The sequence below is a fragment of the Homo sapiens genome, chromosome 4 (assembly GCF_000001405.40).
Source record: "Homo sapiens chromosome 4, GRCh38.p14 Primary Assembly".
Classification (NCBI taxonomy): domain Eukaryota; kingdom Metazoa; phylum Chordata; class Mammalia; order Primates; family Hominidae; genus Homo; species Homo sapiens.
The window spans coordinates 71630301-71655434 of NC_000004.12; the positions used below are offsets into that span (position 1 = coordinate 71630301).

The following is a 25134-nucleotide window of genomic DNA, read 5'->3' on the forward strand; positions in this document are numbered from 1 at the left end:
ACACTGAACTTTGGGGACTCAGGGGAAAACGTTGTGGGTGGGAAGGGATAGAAGACTACACATTGGCTACAGTGTACACTGCTCAGGTGTTGGGTGTAGTAAAATCTCAGAAATCACCACTAAAGAACTTATTCATGTAACCAAACACCATCTGCTCCCCCAAAACCTATTGAAATTAAAAATAAATAAATAAAAGTTAATGTTTGTCTCTCTTTTTAAAACTATATAGTTTTAAATTTTAAATATTTACTAAGGCAATAAATTAAAAAAATTTAATTGTTTTGAATTCAGTAAATGTGTTAAGCAATATATTTTTTAGAGCTTAGAATCAAGAAACATTTTATCTGCCAATTTCTTGATTATTTTGCTGCCTGTTTTTTCTGTGACTAAAGCATTGTAGTCACCTGAAGAGGTCTTTTGGCCCACTGTACAGACAAAACCAATCCACTGAGACCACACTATTGCAGTAAAGAAAGAGCTTAATTAACAGGAGACTGGTGACATGGGAGAACTAAAGTTATCACTCAAATCAGTATCCCTGAAGGCTTGGAGGCTAGGGATTTTCAAGGATAGTTTTGTTGGCAGGCAGGTAGGAAATTGGGAATATTGATTTGTTGGGAATGAAATCATAGAGGTGTGGAAAGTAGCCCTTGTGCACTGAGTCAGCCCAGGGGCAGGCTACAGGACTGGCTGAGTCACGAGTCTCAGGTCCCGGTAGAGTCAGTCAGTTGCCAGAAATGCAGAAGTCTGAAAAACATCTCAAAAGGCCAATCTTAAGTTCTACAATAGTCATGTTATCTACAGGAGTAATTGCAGAAGTTACAAATCTTGTGACCTCTGGAACGTTGGTTATCATTCAACTATGCCTATATCTTAGTAGAATTCAGGCCCCTCTCATAATCTTAACCTTGTGGGCTTTCATTAGTTTTACAAAGGTGGTTTAGCTTTGGGAAGGGCTATCATCATCCTTGCTTTAAATTTAAACTATAAACTAAATTCCTCCCAAAGAGAGTGTGGCCTATGCTCAGGAGTGACCAAATACAGCTTGGAAATTAGAAGCAAGATGGAGTCAACTACAGCAGTTTTTTCTTACTCTCATAATTTACAAAGTCAGTTTCAGTTTTTCACAGAGGGATATAGAATGAATTTCAGAGTTTTCCTTTAAGGAGAATGACTAGTATCCAGAATCTACAAAGTCCTGGTCCTTTTAAAACCGTGATTACATTATCTTACAAAACTTGTTGTTTCCAGTGCCTAAGAATGGCAAGTACTCATGATGAATATGCTGGATAGGTCTGCATGAAAAATCTTTTGTTCCAGGGCTCAACAAATATGTTTTACCATTAAAAGTATTTTAGAAGTTCTCAGCCAGGCACGGTGGCTCATGCCTGTGATCCCAGCATTTTGAGAGGCTGAGGAGGGAGGATCACTTGAGCCAAGGAGTTCAAGATCAGCCTGGTCAACACAGCAAACTCTGTCTCTACAAAAAAATACAAAAATTAGCCAGGCATGGTGGTGCACGCCTGTAGTCCCAGCTACTCTGGGAGGCTAAAGTGGGAGAATTGCTTGAGCTGGGGAGGTCCAGGCTTCAGTAAGCTATGACTTCACTCCAGCCTGCATTCCAGCTTGGGTGACAGAGCAAGGCCCTGTCTCAAAAAAATTAAGGAGAATTCAAAAAGAATAACAACTGAAAGACTGTTTTATAGTCACATCAATAATGGTAGAAAGCATAATGAAAACCAAGATTATATACAGAGCAACAGCAACAGAAATAATTAACTCTTAATAATATCAAATAGAAATTGCATTTTATACAGAAAACTACAAAAGTGAGAAAAATATTTAAATAAATGAAGAAATATGTTTCTCCATGTGAAAACCAAATATTATAGAGATGTGAACTATTTACCAATTTGTTGATAGGTTTAATAAAAATGTCACTTCTTTTTAGGTTTTGATGAAGGGATTCTGTAATTCATATGGAAAAGTAAATGGGGAAGAATTGCTTTAAAAGTTAGAAAAAATATGTTATATAAAATGTATTAAATATCTAAAAAAAATTATAAGTCTTACATAATCATTAAAGTGATAGTGACAAAGAAAATAGTCCAGAAGGAGCTCCAGGAGAATAAAAATTTAATGTATGTGAAGTTAGAAACTGTGATGGGACTGTTTCTCTATCAGCACGATTATATATTTAGATATGTAGATAATTTAGATAGGAAGATGGATAGTAGAATACTTAACAGAAACACCTGCAGACAATCAGAGATCAGAGGTTTTTTTTTACTCAAAGCTAAAACAGCCCTTAGAGATGATGAGAGGTGTATGGATAAATACTAAAATATGCTGTGGGATTGCACTGTAGGCTAGGGACCCAGAGCTTTACATTTCTCCTTTTATCTAGAAGAGGAGAAGATCTGTCCCTCTTTCTGTTAGGAGATAGGAGAAGAAAAATCCTGGGTTCTTAAGTTTGTAGTGCAAATGAATATCTTCAGGGGCAAGATAAGTCTAGTTCTCCAAGTTTGCAACCCAGAATTGTCTCTTTTGAAATATAAATACAAGGAAAGATAACACTCTAAACCCTTCCAGGAGTCTAAGCATTATTCAATCACCCTTTCCTTTAACTCAGGTTCCCATTCTGGAATGCAACCATTTGGCTCCTAGGGGATAAGAGGTTTGTTATCTTTTGAATGGAAGCAATTAGTTCCACAATTAAGGAGGCAAATGGCTGAAGATGTAATATTTGGGCATATGAAAAGGAATTTTTTTCTGGAGAAAGTAAAACCAAATATTTTCTAATTCACAATGTACGGCTCAGGAGGCCGACATTTTGCAGGAAAACCTAGAAATCCAGGGAAGATTTATTTTTCCATAATATACATGAACCATATATTAACATATAGTAAAGATTTTCAATAAATAGTACTAGAAGAAATGAAGTTATAATTTGGGGAACTTCATCTAAAGTGCTTAAAGAGTTAAATGTAAAAAAATCAGTTTATAAAGAGCCTATAAGAAAATAAAAATGAATATACTGTCAAATGTTTGCATAAGGAAAGAGTTTCCAGACTTAAAAGTAATATAAGAGGTCAGAAGGGAAAAGATAATAGATTTAATTGTATTAAGACATAAATTGTCTATAAGCCAAATACATAAATTAAAAGTCAAACAAAAATTATCTCAATAACTATGACAGACAAGAGATAAATGTTTCTAAAAGACATGACTGCTCTATTAAAGTATTCCTATAGTTTTTGTGAGTATAAATATATATATTACCTTTTAGAAATTAATTAGTAAAATTATATCTTTAGCCTTAAAAATGTTTGTATTCTATGGCATGGTCAATTTCATTTTAGAAATCTATCCTAAGGATATGGATGAAATATGATAAACAGCCTTATGCAAAACACAGTTTCATAACTGCTTATTTTTAAAGAAGAAAAATAAAAATAAATGGAATTTTCAACAATACAAATCTTTTCTGTAATAATGGGATATCCATTGATGAAACAGTATATAGTCAAGAAAATGATATTTACTAAGAGTAATGCTAATGTTATTAAGGTCACCAGAGGAAAAGCAAATTACAAAACACTTATGACACATGATCTCAAGAAAACAGAGAGGCAGTCTATGGGAAAAATTAAGAATGATTATTTCTTGATTTTAAGATTGTTAGTAACTTTAATTTATTTAATAATATTTAAATTATTTAATTTAACTAAATTTATTAATTTAGTTCCTTAGAAATTTTGTGTAGTCTCCAAGCTTTTTGATAAGCACATAATAATTTATAATCATAAAAAGGTGATTATTTTTAAAGGTGATTATTAAAAGGGGAGTTTGTATAGCTTTTGCATGAACAATGGCAATCAAAAAGGGTTTAATTGCTAAAGAGCATTCTCAGTACCCAAAGTGGAAGTATTTTCAAATCTAGTTTTACAAGAAAAGGATACAATATAGCAACAGCATTAAAGTAAGAATATACATCACAGCCCAAAGCAATATTCTTGGTGTGAAACCAAAACCAAAACCAATAGCAGAGACCTTCTGGGATCTTACCAAGATTGGGTATGTTATATATAAAGTTTAGGTGCCGCAAAAGAAACGGAACTTGATTATGAAATTTTCTTTTAATTCTGAGCAAGGCAAGTTACTTCTATAAAAGGGTGCACTCTTACAGATGGAGCAGTGGTGAGTGTACACTTGGACAACGGAGGGGAAACGGTTCTTATCCCTGACGCACGTGGCCCCTGCTTCTGTGTCCTTCCCCTATTGGCTAGGGTTAGACTGCACAGGATAAACTAATTCTGTTTGGCTAATTTAAAGAGAGTGACCGGGTGAGTGCTTTGGCGGGAAAAAAAGATGGTTATGCAGGGTGGAGAATGAGTCAGGGCGGAGCAGGTAGCAGGTAATCTGAATGAGCCAGGGTGGAGTAGGTAATTGAAAAAGGTTGCTTTACAAGGAAGATGAGTTTAAAAGCAGAGGGCAAATAACTGAACATACTGATATATTGATTCTTTGAAGAGAAATTTAGAACTTATATCTAACAGGCACAAATCATCAGTCTCACTGTTATCAATAAACAATGCTAACAAGCTGGTACAAACTTCCCTGAAACTCCTTGGACTCTCGGTTACAAAACAACCTTATTAATTATAATAATTATTTCATGACTTGACCAGAGATCACAGATTTTTGGTAGATCTTTTATTCAGTAATATAACACAGGCCCATTCTAGGCTTGCTAAAATTAATCCTTGAGCAGCTTGAAATATTAGGAGATGGCCTGACATGAAGATCAGACATTAGATTTGGGATAATAATTTTTTCCAGAGGGTGATGAGTGCATCAGCAGCCCTTTATAATGTGACTGATCCTTAATATGCAGATTTTAGATTGTATTGTTGCCTGTATATCCCTCTTGCAGCTACTACTGCATATGTACATAGAGCATATATTCAGAGCATCCTGGGACTTGAAGGACATTATTGTGAATTGTCTATTTAAATGCAAATTAGATTCACCAGCTGTTGTTGCTACTAGTCTTGGCAACCTTAAGGAGACATTTTATCCTAGCAACCAGAGAGGATACAGATAACAAATTTCACTTTCATGAGAAAAAACAAAAGGTCAGAAAGCATAGGAGCAATATTTCATGCAAATTCATCTGTTTTACAACAGAATCCCTTTAAATAGAGCTTCAGAAGGCCACAATCAATTGCTTCAAAAGACTTTAGCAGAATAACTATCATCATCAAGATGCATGAGGTCAGCAGTTTACAACAACATTTGGTAAGTTCTATTCTAGGCAGTGATTTTGTTCCATAAGCTAATAGAAATTGTATGAGTGGAGTCAATAACTTAACCCTCCCATTTAAACTCATCAGTGTCGAGTAAGCCAAATTTGCATGAATTTTGTCTAATTCAACCAGAATTATTTTTAGATTATTAACTTTATCTTCAATTTTACATGGCAAATATTTACTTCACAGTCTACGCTTCTTTGGAAAATTAACAGCAGAAAATTTTCAAATATTTAAGCCTCTGACAGACTTGAACCCTGGACATGTAAGATTCTTTTCTCACTTGGCAAGCACAAGGCCTCTCTTGAAGCATGTTTTTAGTGGAAACTTAGTGAATTAAATTAAAATATTTAGTTTAGCATCAAGTTTTGGCATTTATGCAGGTTGTTCTTGAAAACTCTTTCTGGAGTGCAAGGTTTAATAATTACAATTTCTATAAATAATATTTCTGTCAATTTTCTAAAGAGACCAAATATACGAAAAAAACCCTTTTCATAAAATGTCTAGAAATATTTTTATGTGTATGTAGATAAATTATAGATATCCTGTGACATAAGAATAGAGGAAAAACTTTCAGAACTCAGGGAGAGCTAAAATATTCATGAGTGTCAAGCAGAACAGGAATTAACTGCATGGACTAAGCTAATCTTTTTGACTTTTTGTTTAAAATGTTTGCTGATCCTTTTGTTTTGTTTTTCAGAGTTTTTTTTTTTTTCAGATGGAGTCTTACTCTGTCAACCCAGGCTGGAGTTCAGTGGTGAGATCTTGGCTCATCGCAACCTTCGCCTCCTTGATTCAAGCGATTCTCCTGCCTCAGCCTCCCCAGTACCTGGGATTACATGCATGTGCCACCATGCCTGGCTAATTTTTGTGTTTTTAGTAGAGATGGGGTTTTGCCATGTTGGCCAGGCTGGTTTCAAACCCCTGACCTCAGGTGATCTGCCTGCCTCAGCCTCCAAAAGTGCTAGGATTACAGTCATGTGCCGCTATGCCCGGCTAATTTTTGTGTTATGGTAATACAATTATTTGCATAAGTGTAATAGAAATCTGTTTTCATTTGTAATAGGATGCAATTGGAGGACCTGGTTATTTTACCAAGTCTTGGACTGGAATGGTGTGCTTTCCTTTAAGGAATCAAACTTGACTTACAGAGCCAATAAATCCCCTTGGGGAAACTGGCCTTATATCTTTGTCCATTCACCCCAGTACAGGGTTCCTGACCTGTGGTAAGTAAAGAATGTCACTTTCTGACAGGTCTAGGTCCCCAAGTTTATCTTGGAACCTCGAGAGAATCACCCAACTCACAGGTATTTGATGGCACACATCCATGGCTTGGCTCAGCTTTAAAAAAGTGTTACCCAAGATTCCTTCTATGAAACAAAGTCCCAGCAAAGCCAATTTAAAAGCCTATGTAAAAAATAATTACTCTTGCTGCACTGTATACAAACAATTAGGCCAAGTGGAATAAAGCAAGACAATTCTACCATGATTTGTCTTTAGCAAAAATAGGAAACTGGAGAGATAAAAATTATGTTTCCAAAATTATAGTACACCTATTGTTAGATTCTCATCTTGCCTAATGTTTTTCAATTTTTACTATTTTCTACAATTTGGGCTAAATTGTAATTTTTTCTTGGCTACAAGTCTTCAAAATATGTTTTCACTTTTTTTCCTTTTTTCCATTTTTCCTAATTGGGAGTCACTGAAAACTAAGAAGTGCTTTCTTAAAGCCCTGCAAACTGAAACTAGACAACTTAAACTTCAGAACAAAATAACAGTAACCTATTTACGTACATAAGCCACTTTTTTTTTTTTTGAGACGGAGTCTCACTCTGTCCCCCAGGCTGGAGTGCAGTGTCACAATCTCAGCTCACTGCAAGCTGCACCTCCTGGGTTCATGCTATTCTCCTGCCTCAGCCTCCTGAGTAGCTGGGACTACAGGCACCTGCTACCACGTCCAGCTGATTTTTTGTATTTTTTTTAGTAGAGACGGGGTTTCACCATGTTAGCCAGGATGGTCTCAATCTCCTGACCTTGTGATCCACCCACCTCGGCCTCCCAAAGGGCTGGGATTACAGGCGTGAGCCACCATGCCCAGCCATAAACCACTTTCATAACTGCCTTCTGATGCATAGACTTCAGAGTAATGTGGCCTGCATTGATTTTCCAGGATTGGTCTTTTGTGTGCTGTTGTTTTTCTCCTTTTCTCCTAAGAGGACATTTTCTCTTAAGAGGACATGAGACTCCACAACCCTATAAAAATGAGCATTCTAGACCTACACATCTAGGAATAAACAGTCCTAGCCATGAGTGATCAGATGAATCCTGGGACCAGAGACTCATTTTCTTCTAAAATGCTTTCTCCAAAATATTTTAAAAAAGAAAAGGGGGGAAAAGTGAAAGGAAATATCTTGGACTTCTTCAAGCTGGGAACTGCTCAGGGCAAATCTGCCTCCCATTCTATTCAAATTCAGTGAGCAGAGGCTCACTGAGATAGATGCATATCTGATTGCCTCCTTTGGAAAGGCTGATCAGAAACTCTAAAGAATGCAACTCTTTGTCTCTCACCTATCTGTGACCTGGAAGCACCCTTCCCACTTCAGGTCTTCCTGACTTTGTTTCAAGTTGTCCAATTTTTCCAGACCAAACCAATGTACTTCTTCCATCTATCAATTCATGTCTCATTAAGGGAGGAGACCACCCCTCATATTATCTTATGCCCAATTTCTGCCTCCAAAGAAAGAAGAAATAAAAACTAAAAGGCAGAAATGAAATCCATAGGCAGACAGCCCAGTGCCATGCCCTGGACCTGGTAGTTAAAGATTGACCCCTGACCTAATCAGTTATGTTATCTATAGATTACAGACATTGTGTGGAAAAGCACTGTGAAAATCCCTGTCCTGTTCTGTTTTGTTCTGTTCTAATTACCAGTGCATGCAGCCCCCAGTCACATACTCCCTGCTTGCTCAATCGATCATGACCCTCTCACGCGGACCCCCTTAGAGTTGTAAGCCCTTCAGAGGGACAGGAATTGCTCACTTGGGGAGCTCAGTTTTTGAGATGTGAATCTTCCTGATGTTCCCGGCTGAAGAAAGCCCTTCCTTCTTTAACTCGGTGTCTGAGGGGTTTTGTCTGCAGCTCATCCTGCTATATTTCCTGATTCCCTGACTGGGAAGCGAGGTGATTAATGGACAGTCGAGGCAGCCCCTTAGGTGGCTTAGGCCTGCCCTGTGGAGCATCCCTGCAGGAGATGCCAGCTAGCTTGAGTGACATGGATCCTGAGAGCACTCCTGGGTAGGCAATTGCCCCAGTGGAATGCCTCGCCAGAGCAGCATGTGGCAGGCCCCCACAGAGGATTAATACAGTGGTTGAACACCGGGAAGGAACTGGCACTTGGAGTCCGGACATCTGAAACTTGGTAAGATTAGTCTTTGGAACTTGCCCACTCCATTTGAGTGGAAGCGTGGACTGGTCACCCATGGCATGCCTGTACCGGCACTTTGGTTTTTGTTTTTGATTTGACTTGGATTGCTTGATACTTTGGTTTTGGTCTTGACCTGGCTTGGGTTTCTTGATACTCTGATTTTGGTTTTGATTCTGGTTTGGTGTTAACTGTAAAAGTGTGTGTGTGCCCTTTTCACCTGTTCTTTGTTTTGTGGTGTGCATGTGGTGTGAGCTTGGTGTTTTGTCTCGAGGAAGCATGGGTCAGGCACAAAGTAAGCCCACCCCACTAGGAGCTATGTGGAAAAATTTCAAGAATGGATTTAAGGGAGATTACAGTGTTACTATGACAGCAGGAAAACTTAGAACTTTGTGTGAAGTAGACTGGCCAGCATTAGAGATGGGTTGGCCATCAGAAGGAAGCCTGGACAGGTCCCTTGTTTCAGAGGTATGGCACAAGGTAACCTGTAAGCCAGGGCACCCAGACCAGTTCCCCTACATAGACGCTTGGTTACAGCTGGTTTTAGACGCCCCCCTACAGTGGTTGAGAGAACAGCAGCATAAGTGGCTGACAGAGGCAAGGAAAGACCAATAGAGAGAGAGAAAAAAAAGACACAGAGAGGAAAAGAGGTAAAGAGACAGAGTAAGAGACAGAGAGGAAGAGACAGAGAGACAAAGAGGGAGTCAAGAAGAGAGAAGGAGAGAGATATACAAGTAGTTTAAAAAAAAAATTGTACCCTATTCCTTTAAAAGCCAGGGTAAATTTAAAACCTATAATTGATAATTGAAGTTATTCTCCATAACCCTATAACACTCCAATACCACTTTGTTGTCAGTGTAAACAAGGGCGTATCCTGAAAGCACTGAGACCACTGATAACCCGTAGCCTTCCTATAAAAAATCCTTAACTCAGTAACCTGCAGTTGGCCCAGATGCATTCAATCTGTAGCGACAACTGCTTTGCTAACACAAGAAAGTAAAAAAAATAACTTTTAGAGGAAACCTCATTGTGAGCACACCTCACTAGTTCAGAATTATCCTAAAGAAAAAAAAAAAAAAGATGATTTAACATTAACCACTATTCCCTTAACCCAGCAGGTTTCCTAACAGGGGATGTAAATCTTAATTACCATACAAAGGTCTGACCAGACCTAGGAGGATGTTCCTCCCAGGTATTTGAAGGAAAAAAAGAAAAAAAACCCATCTATACCAATTCTAAGCTAATTTGGACTAAACAAGGTCTTATTAACAGCAAAGGATAATTGAAATCCCAAACTTCCAAGGTTTTCAACAAAAGTAAAGTTTGCTAAAACTTAACAGTGTAACATATATTATAGTAACTTCTAATCTTGTGGCCTTGGACAGTCTAGTCCACAGACATAAAAGAAGTTCGCTTTGGAAAAGAATGGTTATCATCTTCAAAAAACAGGGAAAAAATGGGGGGCAGAATTTATGTAAAAAGCATGTGATGTGGTAGATTCTTGTGCTGATATAAATTAACTGGTTGTTTAAAGAAAGAAATGTTTGTAATAAGTCAGAAAGTTGAGGCATGTCAAAGAATTTTCTGCAAAAGTCATGAAAGAGAAAAAAAAGTTATAAAAAAAGAATTTATGCAAGAAATGTTGTATAGTTTAAAAGTAACTAGGCTTCCTGAATGTAAAACTATTGAAAAAATAGTTTATGGGCAAGGTGTATAAGGAAAGTAAAATATACCTTTGGTAAAAGGAGGCATAAGAATGTAAATTTTTACCTACATTAAAAGGTAAAAAAAATTATTGTTTTGAAGGTTTAAGCAAGTTTTAAAACATTAATTGTAAAGAAAATTCTGTGTGTAAACATATTAGCTGAAGTTAAAGGGGTATCATCCAGTTTTTCTGTGAACTGGACATTAAAGTAAAAACACAATGGGTTTTTCTTAAAGCACTAACCTGCTTTTTAACAAAGGTTATAAAAGGTTAAAAAGAGTCTATAAAAATCTTACCTTATGGTCTGACATTAAAAATTGAATAAATATGTCTACAAAGTTTTATTAAAACTAAGTTTAACATTAATAGCACACTAATATAAAGGTGAAATTTAGCTTATCTGGTATTCATACAGGAAGCATTGTCAAATACAATATGGTGTTTGGCTTCTTTGGTCTAAAAACTAATAAAAAATAGATGCTAAAGGAAATTTCTCAGTAGAAAGGCACCAAGGACTACAAAGTCCACTGCTGATGTACCCACATTTAAAACAAAAGGTCAACTTCTTAGAAATTATATATTTGGTTTATCTTCCACTTTCCTTTCCCTCAAAACTAAAAGTCTTTTAGCACATGTACCACCTCTAGAATTTCTGGTAAACCAGCACCAGTCTGAAGATCACATTCTCATCAAAGGGTGAAAAGAAAGGAAATCTGAACCAGCCTAGGAAGGACCCTACCTGGTGCTGCTAACCACCAAGACTGCTGTTCATACAGCAAAAAAAAAAAGGATGAACTCATCACCACTGAGTCAAGAAAACACCAACCCCTCCAGAGTTATGGGCCGTAGTCCCAGGGGAAAACCCTACCAAACTAAAGCTAAGAAAAATTTGATTCTTTCATCTATTCTATTACTCTTTCTTCTTTCCTCACTCTATTGCTGACCATCTAGTTATTAATATAACCAAGTCAATTTTGCCTCAAAATATTGCATTTAATATTTTATACCCTGTGGGGACTTGCCAAGTCAAAGACAGCTCTCTACTTCAGAAAAGTACCTCTTTCCCTCTTGACTCTCCTCAGACTGGGCATTAGTATATTAGAACCATTTAATCCTGGGAAATTTTGATAAAGACTCCAGTGTCAACAAGGAGTCTTGCTCCCCAATGTAGAGCTTTCATGCTGTAGTTGGTCCAACATTCTGTGGACCACTAAAGAGCAAGGATGGACTGCCCCAGCCAGTTTTTGTAATTTCCTAAAATCATACATTCATTTTACTGGAGGATCATAGTAGTTAAAGACTTAAACTTTGGCAGTTAAGACAGGATACCAAGATACAAATGCCTGGTTGGAATGGATCAAATATTCCATCCACACGTTAAACAAAAGCAATTGTTATGCTTGTGCACATGGCAGGCCAGAGGCCCAGATTGTCCCCTTTCCACTAAGGTGGTCTTCCAGTTGACCAGACATGGGCTACATGGTAGCTGCTTTCCAGGATTCTACAGCCTGGAGTAATAAGTCATGCCAAGCTCCCTCTGCTATATCCCAAAGTCCGGCACCCTGTGGGTCAGGCCCTGAGGGCCATCCAGCCTCCGTCTCCCAACACTAAGTTCACTTTGTGTCTCTCATGACAGGGAGAAAACTTAGCATTCCTTGGAGACCTGAAGGGATGCAGTAAGCTTAAGAATTTTCAAGAGTTTATCAATCAGTCAGCCCTTGTTCATCCTCTAGTGGATGTGTGGTGGTATTGTGGTGGACCTTTACTGGGCACTCTGCTGAATAACTTAAGTGGCATTTGTACTTTAGTCCAGTTGGCTATCCCTTTTACCCTGGCATTTCATCAACCAGAGGGAGGAAAAATAAGACATCATAAAGCAAGAGAAGCCTCTTATGGGTCTTTCAACTCTCACGTCTATTTAGACACAACTGGAGTCCCATGGGGAATACAAGATCAATTTAAAGCTTGAAATCAAATAGCTGCAGGATTTGAGTCAATATTTTGGTGGGTGACACTTAATAAAAATATAATTTGGATAAACTACATCTATTACAACCAATAGCAATAAGCTTTTCATGAGTTAAAAACTCATGGCCCCAGCCCTGGGGCTACCTGACCTGACAAAACCCTTTACACTCTAGGTGTCAGAAAGAGAAAAAATGGCAGTTGGAGTTTTAACCCAGACTGTGGGGCCCTGGCCAAGGCCAGTGGCCTATCTCTCCAAACAACTAGATGGGGTTTCCAAAGCCTGGCCCCTATGTCTAAGGGCCCTGGCAGCAACAGCCCTGTTAGCACAAGAAGCAGATAAACTAACCCTTGGGCAAAATCTGAATATAAAGGCCTCCCATGCTATGGTAACTTTGACGAATACCAAAGGACATCATTGGCTGACAAATGCTAGATTAACCAAGTACCAAAGCTTGCTATGTGAAAATCCACGCATAACCACTGAAGTTTGCAACACCCTAAACCCCACCACCTAGCTCCTCATATCAGAGAACCCAGTTGAACATAACTGTATAGAGGTATTGGACTCAGTTTATTCTAGTGGGCCCAACCTCCGATACCATCCTTGAACATCAGTAGCCTGTGAGCTGTATGTGGGCAGAAGCATCTTTGCCAACCCCTGCAAAGGGACTCTGAAGAAGATGACTAGCCCTGCTCCAGTCACATCTGGAAGCTGACTGGTCCATGCATGGCCGAAACATGGGAAAACTCATCGCGGGACTCATTTTCCTTAAAATTTGGACTTGTACAGTAAGGACTTCAACTGACCTTCCTCAGACTGAGGACTGTTCCCAGTGTATACATCAAGTCACTAAGGTAGGACAAAAAGTTGCTACAGTCCTATTATTTTATGATTATTGTAAGTGTACTGGGAATCTAAAAAGAACTTGTTTGTATAATGCTATTCTATGCAAGGTATGTAGCCCAGGAAATGACCAACCTGTTGTGTGTTATGACCCATCTGAGCCTCCAATGACCACAGTTTTTGAAATAAGGTTAAGGACTAAGGACTGGTGGTGGCTCATAAATGATACAAGTAAAGTGTTAGACAAAACAAAAGAAAAACGGGTGCCCAAACAAGTCACCTTGAAGTGTGATGCCTGTGCTGTCATTAATAGTAATAAGTTAGGAATAGGATGTGGTTCTCTTAATTAGGAAAGAGGCTATATGGCAGAAAATAAGTACATTTCTCATGAATTAGGACTGTGTGGAAATGAATGTGGATACTGGTCTTGTGTCATTTAGGCTACTTGGAGAAAAAATGAAAAGGATACTGTCCACCTTCAGAAAGGGAAAAGTGGCCCTTCCTGTACCATTGGTCAGTGTAACCCCTTAGAACTAGTAATAACCAACCCCCTTGATCCTCGCTGGAAAAAAGGGGAGAATGTAACCCTAGGAATTGATGGGTCTGGACTGGATCCTTGAGCGAATATCGTGGTTTGAGGAGAAGTTTATAAACGCTCTCCTGAGCCAGTATTTCAAACCTTCTATGATGAACTGAATGTGCCAGTAACAGAAATTCCAGGAAAAACAAGAAATTTGTTTTTGCAATTAGCCAAGCGTGTAGCCCAGTCTCTCAATGTCACTTCATGTTATGTATGTGGAGGAACTGTAATGGGAGATCAATGGCCATGGGAAGCCCGAGAATTAGTACCTACAGACCCATTTCCTGATGAATTCCCAGTTCAAAAGAATCACCCTGATAACTTCTGGGTCCTAAAAGCCTCAATCATTAGACAATACTGTATAGCAAGAGTGGGGAAGAATTTCACCCTTCCTGTGGGGAGACTCAGCTGCCTTGGGCAAAAACTGTATAATACTACTACAAAAGCAGCCACCTAGTGGAGTTCATACCACACTAAGAAAAATCCATTTAGTAAATTCGTGAAGTTGCAAACCGTGTGGACCCACCCAGAGTCCCACCGGGACTAGACAGCCCCCACTGGATTATACTGGATATGTGGGCATAGAGCTTACACCAAATAACCCGGCCAGTGGGCAGGTAGTTGTGTTATTGGCACTATTCAACCATCTTTCTTCCTACTGCCCATAAAGACAGGTGAACTCCTGGGCTTCCCTGTCTATGCTTCCTGCGAAAAGAGAAACATAGCTATAGGCAATTGGAAAGATGATGAATGGCCCCTGAGAGAATCATACAACATTATGGGCCTGGTACTTGGGCACAGGATGGCTCGTGGGGATACCAGACCCCCATTTACATGCTCAACTGAATCATACAGTTAAAAGTTGTCTTAGAAATAGTCACTAATAAGACCAGCAGAGCCTTGACTATTCTGGCCCAGCAAGAAACTCAGATGAGAAATGCTATCTATCAAAATAGATTGGCTCTCGACTACTTGCTGGCAGCTGAAGGAGGGGTCTGTATGAAATTTAACCTTACTGATTGCTGTCTACACATAGTTGATCAAGGGCAAGTAGTTGAAGACATAGTTAGATATATGACAAAACTGGCACTTGTGGCTGTGCAAGTGTGGCATGGATTTGGTCCTGGGTCCATGTTTGGAAAATGATTTCCAGCACTAGGAGGATTTAAAACTCTTATAATAGGAGTCATAGTAGTAATAGGAACCTGCTTACTGCTCACTTGTTTGCCACCTCTACTTCTTCAAATGATAAAAAGCTTCATCGCTACCTTGTTCACCATAATGCTTTAGCACAAGTGTACTATATGAATCACTATCAATCTGTCTTCCAAGAAGACATGGGTAGTGAGAATGAAAGTGAGGACTCCCACTAATGAATGAAGTTCTCAAAGAGGGGGAATAAGGGAGGAGACCACCCCTCATGTTGACTTATGCCCAATTTCTGCCTCCAAAGAAAGAAGAAGTAAAAACTAAAAGGCAGAAATGAAATCCACAGGCAGACAGCCCAGCGCTGCACCATGGGCCTGGCAGTTAAAGATCGACCCCTGACCTAATCAGTTATGTTATCTATAGATTACACACATTGTATGGAAAAGCATTGTGAAAATCGCTGTCCTGTTCTGTTCCATTCTAATTACTGGTGCATTCAGCCCCCAGTCACTGCTTGCTCAATTGATCACAATCCTCTAATGTGGACCCCCTTAGAGTTGTAAGCCCTTAAGAGGGACAGGAATGGCTCACTCGGGGAGCTTGGTTTTTGAGACATGAGTATTGCCAATGCTCCCGGCTGAATAAAGCCCTTCCTTCTTTAACTCGGTGTCTGAAGGGTTTTGTCTGTGGCTCATCCTGCTACATCATGTCTCACTAAAATGTATAAAACTAAGCCGTGCCCCCACTACCTCAACCTTGGTAAAATAAACTTTCTAAATTAACTGAGACACATCTCAAATTTGGGGGGTTCACAATATATACCTTTTAGAGTCTTGATTCCAAAGCAAAACTCAGGGATACACACAGACAGACAGACAAAAACTCAAACACACATATTTGTTAATACAAAAATAAAACCGTAAAATATTTAGAGAGATTTACTCTGAGCCAGTATGAGTGACCATGGCCCAGGAACAGTCTCAAAAGGTCCTGAGAAAGTATGCGTGAGTACAGGCAAAGACATAAATCAATACATGGAAGGTTTACATTGGTTCAACCTTATGAGGTGAATTATCTTGAAGCAGGGAAGTGAGGGTGGTTACAGGTCATAGGTGGATTCAAAGGTTTTTCTGATTGGCAATTGGTTGTAAAAGTAAAACTTTGTCTGAAGACTTTAAGTCGGCAGGAAGAAATGCTTGAGTTAAGAGGCATTGCGGATGCCAAAGCTCTTATGTAGATGAAGCCTCATAGGTAATAGCCGTCAGAGAGAATAGATGATAAATGTCTCTTTTCAAACCTTAAATGTGTCACACCCTCATTTTATCTTTCCTAGATCTGGGAAAAGGCCAGAAAGGGAGGCCTGGCTGCTTTAATGGAGATTCTCTACAGATGCAAATCTCCCCATGCAAAGATGGCTTTGCAGGGCCATTTCAAAACATGTCCAATAAATATATTTTGGGGTAAAATATTTTTATTTCTTTCAGAGTTTACTATCTGTCATGTGATGCTATAGCAGAGTCAGGCTGGAATTCAGTATCTTATTGCCACAAGGAGTCTTTTTTGTCAGTCTTATAATCTGCATTTTAATGTTAATGCTGGCCAGTTTTGCCTAAACTCCAAAAGGGAGGGAACATAAAAGGTGTATCTGACCTCCTGTTCCTTTATGACTGGGAATTCAGTTTTTCAGATTTCTCTGGGTTCCCCTTGTCCAAAAGGGGATCCGTTCAGTCAGTTGGGGGCTTAGCATTTTATTTGTAGTTTACATAGTTTATATATGAATATTTATATATAATAAATGTTATTTATAATAGATGTTATTTATAATATATAAATATTTTTATATAACAAATAAAAACATAATATATATTATATATAACATGTATAATATAGTTCCACCACTTTGGACTTTTCCTAAAACCTCAAGAGAAAACTTCATTATTTGTTAGATCATGGTTTTTCTGAATCACATACATTCTAAACCTGCAATTGAAATCATTACTGGATATTTTCTAATTTAGTTCATTGTTTTGAATCTAACTATCAAGTAAGAAAATTAATTTTCAAGTATCTTCACAATTTTGTCTGTTATAAAGGTGTAAGTCATTTATCACAATTTCTCAGTTGTCTGTGCTGGTCTGAAAAAAAAGGCTAGATTATTGATCCAATCATAATTTAAACCAACATTTCCAAAGCCTTTCTAAGTTGTTGTTTTGGTCAAGTTGTTATTATATAAAATAGCTGGTTTAGTTTTGTTATTGGAAAGGGGTCCCAATCCAGGCCCCAAGAGAGGGTTCTTGGATCTCATGCAAGAAAGAATTCAGGGCAAGTCCTTAAAGTGAAAGTGAGTTTACTAGGAAAGTAAAGGAATAAAAGAATGGCTCTCCGTAGAACAGCCCCAAGAGCTGCTGGTTGTCCATTTTTATAGTTATTTCTTGATTATATGCTAAACAAGGGGTGGATTATTCATGCCTCCCCTTTTTAGACCATATAGGGTAACTTCCTGATGTTGCCATGGCATTTGTAAACTGTCATGGTGCTGGTGGGAGTGTAGCTGTGAGGATAACGAGAGGTCACTCTCTTCACCATCTTGGTTTTGGTGAGTTGTAGCCAGCTTCTTTACTACAACCTGTTTTATCAGCAAGGTCTTTATGATCTGTATCTTGTGCCAACCTCTTGTATCATCCTGTGACTAAGAATGCATTAACCTGCTGGAAACCCAGCCCAGTAGGTCTCAGCCTTATTTTACCCGCCCCTATAAGATGGAGTTACTCTGGTTCCAACTTCTGACAGTTTTACTCCCCGCCCCCATCAATCAGCCTTACCTGGATGAACAAGGAAGAATTCAGAAAAACAAAATAAAGGATTTATGTAGTTCACAAAACAAAATAAAATCTGGCCATTTCCTAAATGTCTTAGAAATAGATAAGGTATACCTGGTTTTCCAGTCATACAAATTCTGAGATCATTCCATTTAAGTTCTTCACAGTCAGACGCACCAACTTTCCAACTCTCCAGGAGCTGATTACGAGTTTAAGGATTATGCAGGCTGGCAAGCTGGTCTGTGGCCAAATCTCCTGGAGAAACACTAGGTAAATAATTTTAGGTTTTTAGCCATATGACTCCTTGTTGAACTAAAGTGTTTAAAAAACCTCTAAGAGAATGATGCAGTATACAATAAAGGGATATAGCGTTTCTCAAAACTTATATTTCTACATAATTCAACCACCCTCTTTTTCTGAAAGCCTCACTGTACCAGTGTTCCAGAGGAGTGCTGAAGTTGGTTCCTACCAGCTCATGAAGGCCAACTGTGTTGCATCATTTCCCAGCTTCCCAGTGATGCCATGTCAGTGACTTGAAATTGGCCACAGTGGGAGTATTTAAAGTACGGAAACCAGCGAACTCTAGAAACCAGAAAAACTGGTTATTACATAATTACTACTGTGGTGTTCATAGAATTCACTTTGCTTGTCTTATTCATTGCTATATCACCCACATTCAGCGAAAGTACCTGTTACATATAAAATAGGCATTTCATAAATACTTGATGAATGAATAAAGTCCGGACTAAATCACTCAGTGTTTTTACTTTTCTTGAAGATCTTCTGGGATTTATATTTTACCATTACCCCTAAAAGGTCAATAAGTCCTCTCATACTAAATCTACCTCCTTTTCCTTTTGCTTAAATTTAAGGATATCTTTAAACTTCTCAGTCATTAGGAAGCTGGAAAAAAGGAACATCTTTTTGTTAAAAATTATTTGTTACAAGAAATCTGCATGCGAACTTGGGAGAGATACAGTCTTCTGTTGACTGTGGCATTCAATCAATCCCTCAGGTGGAAAGAATGTGTTACAGCTGGTTTGTTTTAGCAGCATGGCAACCAGGTGGTAACATATTGTGAGCTTAATATGGGGCAATTAATAAGTTTGAATGGCCAATTATGAATTCATCTTGCATCATTCTGGAGCTGCCTCAATTGATATTCATTCAGTGCTTACTGGAAACAGAATAGGAGATATTTATATTTTGGTACTTGGATTAGAGTTATGCAATTCTTCTCTCAGTTTACCTTCTTTTCCTGGAAAGTTTTTCTTGCTAAGAATGGTGTCTGACAATGATTAAAATATCACTTGACTTTTTGCCAAGGCAGTAACTGGAAGTCTGACAGCTGTGTAGTTAAACTTCTTGGTTCCTGCTAATATGATATTACAAATTTCCATAAAAAACTTTGAACACCTAAAATAGATGATATTCTGGGAATTGTTACCTATGGGCCAATTAATGACACTCAAATCTTTTGAGAAGGGATTCCAGTAGTATCATATAAAACAGAGGTTCTTAAACTTTGGAAAGTATCTAAATCACCTGTGGCATTAGTTTGAACTTCAGTGTGAAGGATTTCTACTAGATATTTCTGACATCGATAATTTCTCTCCACTTGATTGCTGTTAAGTACTTAACTTGCATATCTAAAAGAAGGGAAATATATTAATTATATTTTAATTCCTTCACTCCTCTAATCCTCATTTTCTATCAATTAGTCCTATAAATTTCATTCATTAATGTCTTTCAAAACTATCACTCTCCATTCCACTCACAGTTACTGCCTTAGTTAATGCTATGGATATTATAGTAGTCTCCCATATGGTTTCCCTACATATGATCTTTCTTCCTTTAAATTCATCATCTTATTCGCACAGTTATTATGTATATATTACCGATACATAATAGTTCTTTAGTGTTTGCTCATCACATCTTTTACCAATCTGTAGAATCCATAGAACTGGTAGAACAAAATATTTTTAGGTGGGACTTGGATAATTGTATAAAAAAGAAACACTTATAGGTTTATTTTTATGTGGACTTAAAAATATAACTGATGCCTTCTATTTGAGACAGGAGAGTTAGGTTCTTGGTAAATGGTAGAGTAGCAGATGCTGTTAGTACCCTGTCCACATTTTCTTGGCCCACCTGGATTTGCCTTAGCATTTCCATGGACCGTAGAAACCAATTATTTTTGATTAACTAGCTGAGGGAGGATGCTTGGTCTGTGCCTGGGTTAGGCCTGACTGGGGGAAGAGTGTTAACTGCTCTCAGAGCAACCAACAATGAAGGTCAGGAGTTTGTTGATAAATTATCTCAACTTCCTTGCCCCTTGATGGGACAATTCCATGCTGAGTTCTACAGTTTCTTAGAGGATATCTGTTGCCTGCTGTGATAACTTGTTCTTTAACATTCTGTTTATTGGCTTTCCTCCATTTCCTTTCACTATTTCCCAATCCCTTAACATGCTTCCTGGAGTTGCTTTCTAAGGAAATTAGTTGCATCCAAATCCTTGATTCAGAAAACCTAGTCTAAAGCAGTTGGTACCAGAGGTGGTCATAGAAAGCAAGCCCTTAGTATGAGAGTCTGAAATCTGATCATTCTCTGGCCAGACAAAATAAAGATCCCATTGCTGATGTTAACTGGGGTGGTAACAATACCAGCATGTTGTAGCATTGCTATTACCAGGTTTCTGGAAACCCTCAAGGTTTGCAGAAACAACCTTCTCTCTCTGGCTAGCAGCTTCCATTGCCTGGAAGCTTCTTCACTTGAGGCCCTTCAAGATGATGCTTGCCCTCCTTAAGATCTGCCTACACATTTTCTCATTATTTCTAGGCTAATAACTAGGGTCAAGTTTTAGCATGAAAAAAAACAGGGATGTATAGTCTCTGCTATTGGTGGGAGTGTATTACTAATTAAAGAGTTGTAACACATGGTTAATACCAACAGGAATGGAAAGAGCATGTGTGGGAATAGTGTAGAATAGGGGCAGGGGTAAAACACATGATTAGATAGGGAAGAGTTTATTGCTATAGAGGTATTTTCTCATAACTCAGGGTTTAACATACTGGCAATAATGCTGGGATCTGGTCTTAATATACCACCAGTGTAACTCCTTGAAATGATGGTGATAACAATGACATAGTAAATGAGGTAGAGATGCTTGAACTGCCATAGTAGATAATGAAGCAAAAGATCAGAAGTCCCAGAGGAATCATCATGCTAGAATAAACATATTACAGAAAACAGCTGACTATGTTCTCTTGTAGGGCATAGAGGACACTTCCTACACTAAAGCAATGAACAGCACACTAGTGAGAGGGCCACTGGCATCCCTGAGAAGCTCAGCGATAGCTGTGTTTGTAAGCAAGTTGATGATAAAAGTTGCTACTGTGGTACTAACTGCCTAATGTCAGTGATGATAATAGGATTTTAATAGAAGAGGCCCAGTGGTGACACTTAACCACTCGAAGCAGGGTGATTATAATTAATTGCCAACACAGTTGGATAGGCACCAGGGAGCCTATACTTATAGGGATCTGTAGCAATGGCTTATAAACCATGATTTCTTAGGGACAAGAGAGATGGGCAGCCAATTAAAGTATTGCTTGAATTACATAACTAAATAATATTAAGAGCTTGCAAGTAGAGGGTTGAAATCAAGTTTTTTCTTGCAACAAAAAAATTCACTCTTACTCATTTTGCAGACATGAAGCCTATTGACTGAAGAGGAGGCTGATCCCCTTGAAGAAGGGCTATACAATACTACAACATGCATTTCCAGAAGGCGTTTACCATTTCATCACTCAGGGGCTCTATAGCCATTTACCAATACTCTGTACCCTGGGGCTGGGTATGCTCAGATCTTGTGAGGATTACTTTATAAGAGGGTAAGCCAATAGTGATACTAGAGGCTGTAAAATTCTCTCATGGCATCCTTGTTAGAATTGCTAAATATAAAGGCCATGAAACACATGGAGTCCTGGTCCAAGTTCAACTCATAGCAGGTCTAGAGTAGATCCAACCCACAACCCATTCTTGGTCATGTTTTCAGTTCCTGAGTACAGAATCATGGCAGCAACATCAGCAACTAGCAGAATCATCATTTTGGTTCCACATTTGTGGAGTAAGAGCCACCTTGTTAGAAAAAGCCAAATGGAAACCTCTGAAATTGCCTTCCCCTACCTCTCCCTTATATTTTGGTTAATATGGTAAATAAGAAGTAGTAATAGAGTACTCTATCCCAGGAGGAATTGCAGGAACTGTATCAAAGACTAAAAAGATGCAGGGGTAGTAGTCTTCATGATATCAAAGTTGAATTGAACTATATAGCCTTTATGAAAAACCTGGTTGATGAATCATGGTAGATGCAGGTGAACTTCAAAATGAAACTGTACTAGTTTGTATTGGTCATTATTATTTTTATTATTACAATTATCCTGGAAGTCAATGGAAGAAACTGTTTCCATGAAGAGGAAGTGATCATCTATGTAACTTGCTGTTGAGATATCAACTAAAATCAGGACTAAGACTTGACTGTTGGATTTAGCAGCATTGTTGACCTTGACAAGAGCTATTTAGGTAAAATAGTGGTGGCAAAAGCTTGATTGGGTAGAGTTAAAGACAAAATGGAAGAGAATAATTGTATATAGAATATATAAGCAACTCTTTTAAAAAATGTTTCTGTTAAGTAAAAGAGAAGCAGTAGCTAAAGGGGATTAGAGTTCAAGAGGAATTTATTTATTTTTCCATGGGAGAAACTAGAGCATTTTAAAAATGTAGATGGGACATATTCAAACAAGAGGAAGTATTTATGTGGACTAGGGAAGAATTGCTATAGCAATTTCCTTGAGTAGGTAAAAAGGGTTGGAAACCAGTGTACAATTTTAAAAAATTGCTTTTAAATAGATGAGGCAGTATATACATAAATGAAATCAGTAGTGAGTGTTCCCTTCAGATAACTGTAGTTGGATTAGTAGCAGGCAAATATGGCTTCAGAGAATACTATGCTCAGGGGATGAAAAGTATTTAGGATATCTCAAATATCTTATCATTTATTATGTTCATTTTTTGAAAGTTGAAGGTGTAGTGCTGTAATTTTGTCTACTATCAGCCCTGATGATTGGCTTAGCATTTTCTATTCACCACATGCAAAAAGTAATTACTCTTACCTTTCATATTGCTTTTACTTCTCTCTGACACATTTTGAGGGAAAATGCTATGATATTCTAACAATTCAGATGAGATAAGAGGCTAGTATAACTCCACATATGAGGAAACTTCAAAAAGTTTGTGGAAAAAAAGGAATAAAAAGATAAAAATAAAAAATATAAACTTTATTTCTTAACATAAGCTTCATCAAGTTCAAGACACTTTTAAAAGTGATGACACCAGCCATTTAGTCTATTCCTAAAGAACTGAGACCATGAGAATTTAACCATGTCGGTGTTTTGTTTTATTTTTTATTTTTTTACTGAAGAAAAATGGGAGTCTTTTACAGATATTTTAAGATCAGAAAACAAAAAGAACTTCAGAAGAAGCCAAATCAGGACTGTAAGGTGGATGCTCAGCAATTTCGCATCAAAACTCTTGCAAAATTGTCCTTGCTTGATGAGAGAAATGAAAAGGAGAATTGCCACGGTGGAGAAGGACTCACTGGTGAGGCTTTCCTGGGTATTTTTCTGCTAAAGCTTCAGCTAACTTTCTGAAAACACTCTCATAATAAGCAGATGTTATCATTTTTTAGCCCTCCAGAGAGTAAACAAGCAAAATGCCTTGAGCATACCAAAAAACTGTTGCCATGACCTTGCTCTTGACCAGTCCACTTTTGCTTTGACTAAACCACTTCCACCTCTTTGTAGCCATTGCTTTGATCGTGCTTTGTTTTCAGGATCATATTGATAAAACCATGTTCCATTTCCTGCTACAATTCTTTGAATAAATGCTTCAGAATCTTGATCCTACTTACTTAAAATTTCATTGAAAACTCTGCTCTTGCCTGCAATTGATCTGGGTGCAATGGTTTTGTCACCGATCAAGTGTGAAAAGTTTGCTCCTTTAAATTTTCAGTCACAATTGTGTGAGCTGAAACAATCGAGATGTCTACAGTGTTGGATATTGTTTCTGCTGCTAATCATTGGTTCTGTTTAATTAGGAGGCAAACAAGATGATTTTTTCCCTCAAAATTGATGTGGATAGTCTGCCTCTGCAGGCTTCATCTTCAACATCATCTCCTTTCTTCCTAAAACAAGATACCCATTTGTAATCTGCTGATTTCTTTGGGGCCTTGTCCTCATAAACTTTTTGTAAAGGATCAGTGATATCACCATTCTTCCACCCAAGCTTCACCATAAATTTGGTGTTTGTTCTGGTTTCAATATTAGCAGAATTCCTGTTGTTCTGATAGGGTCTGTTTTCAAACTGAGGTCTTATCCTTCTTATTGCTTCAGACTAGATCCTGTTCAAACATGTTACAACAAGTTAGTACAAGTTTATTTTGGTGCAGAAAAATTGAAATTTCTGCATAGTTTTTTCATAATATGCATTTTCCATGAACTTTTTTTTTTTTTTTTTTTTGAGACGGAGTCTCGCTCTGTCTCCCAGGCTGGAGTGCAGTGGCACGATCTTGGCTCACTGCAAGCTCCGCCTCCCATGTTCATGCTGTTCTCCTGCCTCAGCCTCCCGAGTAGCTGGGACTACAGGCATCCACCACCTCGCCTGGCTAATTTTTTGTATTTTTAGTAGAGGCGGGGTTTCACCATGTTAGCCAGGATGGTCTCGATCTCCTGACCTCGTGATCCACCCACCTCAGCCTCCCAAAGTGCTGGGATTATAGGCCTGAGCCACCGTGCGCGGCCTCCATGAACTTTTTGAAGATCACTCTTATATCTGAGCATTTGTGTAACCCTAAATCAAATCCTTTCATACTCTTTGATGATTTATTTTTAGGCTATGTCTCCCATTTCCAAGAGCAAATATCTGCAAAGTGGTAAGATCCTTGGTGGCTTTGAGTAAATTAAAAGTATGTGAGATAGGAGAAAACCTTAGGAAGGCTGAGCATCTGTAAAAGCATCAAAAAAAGCCTTTCCTGGGCTGAAGGATCAGAAATCACCTGCTTCTGCCCCTTGAGTTTACACATGAGGAAAACGAAAGTCAGGGAGATTACGTGATTTATCCTAAAAGATATGATTGAATAATGGCAGAGCCAGAGTTAGAAGCAAGGTTTCCTGACTTCTACTCTAGTGTTCTCTATATAATACCTTCCTTTTTGATTATAATGCATTTGTAAAAAAATCAATGTGTCAAATTTTAGGATACATATAAATAATTATTT

General features: G+C 38.1%; 1 long non-coding RNA gene across 2 annotated transcripts in view, besides 1 other annotated feature; it reads left to right on the top strand.

The window, feature by feature from the left end:
* Positions 1–24329, top strand: part of LOC105377271 (uncharacterized) — a 40126-nt gene extending 15797 nt beyond the window's left edge. For both annotated transcript variants that reach the window (XR_001741717.1, XR_938866.2), the window contains 2 exons: positions 5191–5301; positions 21509–24329. This is a non-coding gene — a long non-coding RNA (uncharacterized LOC105377271). The remainder of the gene's footprint in view (positions 1–5190; positions 5302–21508) is intronic.
* Positions 23365–24564: an enhancer, noted in NCBI's record as "MED14-independent group 3 enhancer chr4:72519382-72520581 (GRCh37/hg19 assembly coordinates)". NCBI's record gives its function as "activates an origin of replication core promoter dependent on BRD2, BRD4, P300/CBP and CDK7 cofactors, and independent of MED14, by STARR-seq in HCT116 cells {active_cell/tissue: HCT116}" and the evidence as "EXISTENCE:reporter gene assay evidence [ECO:0000049][PMID:35650434]".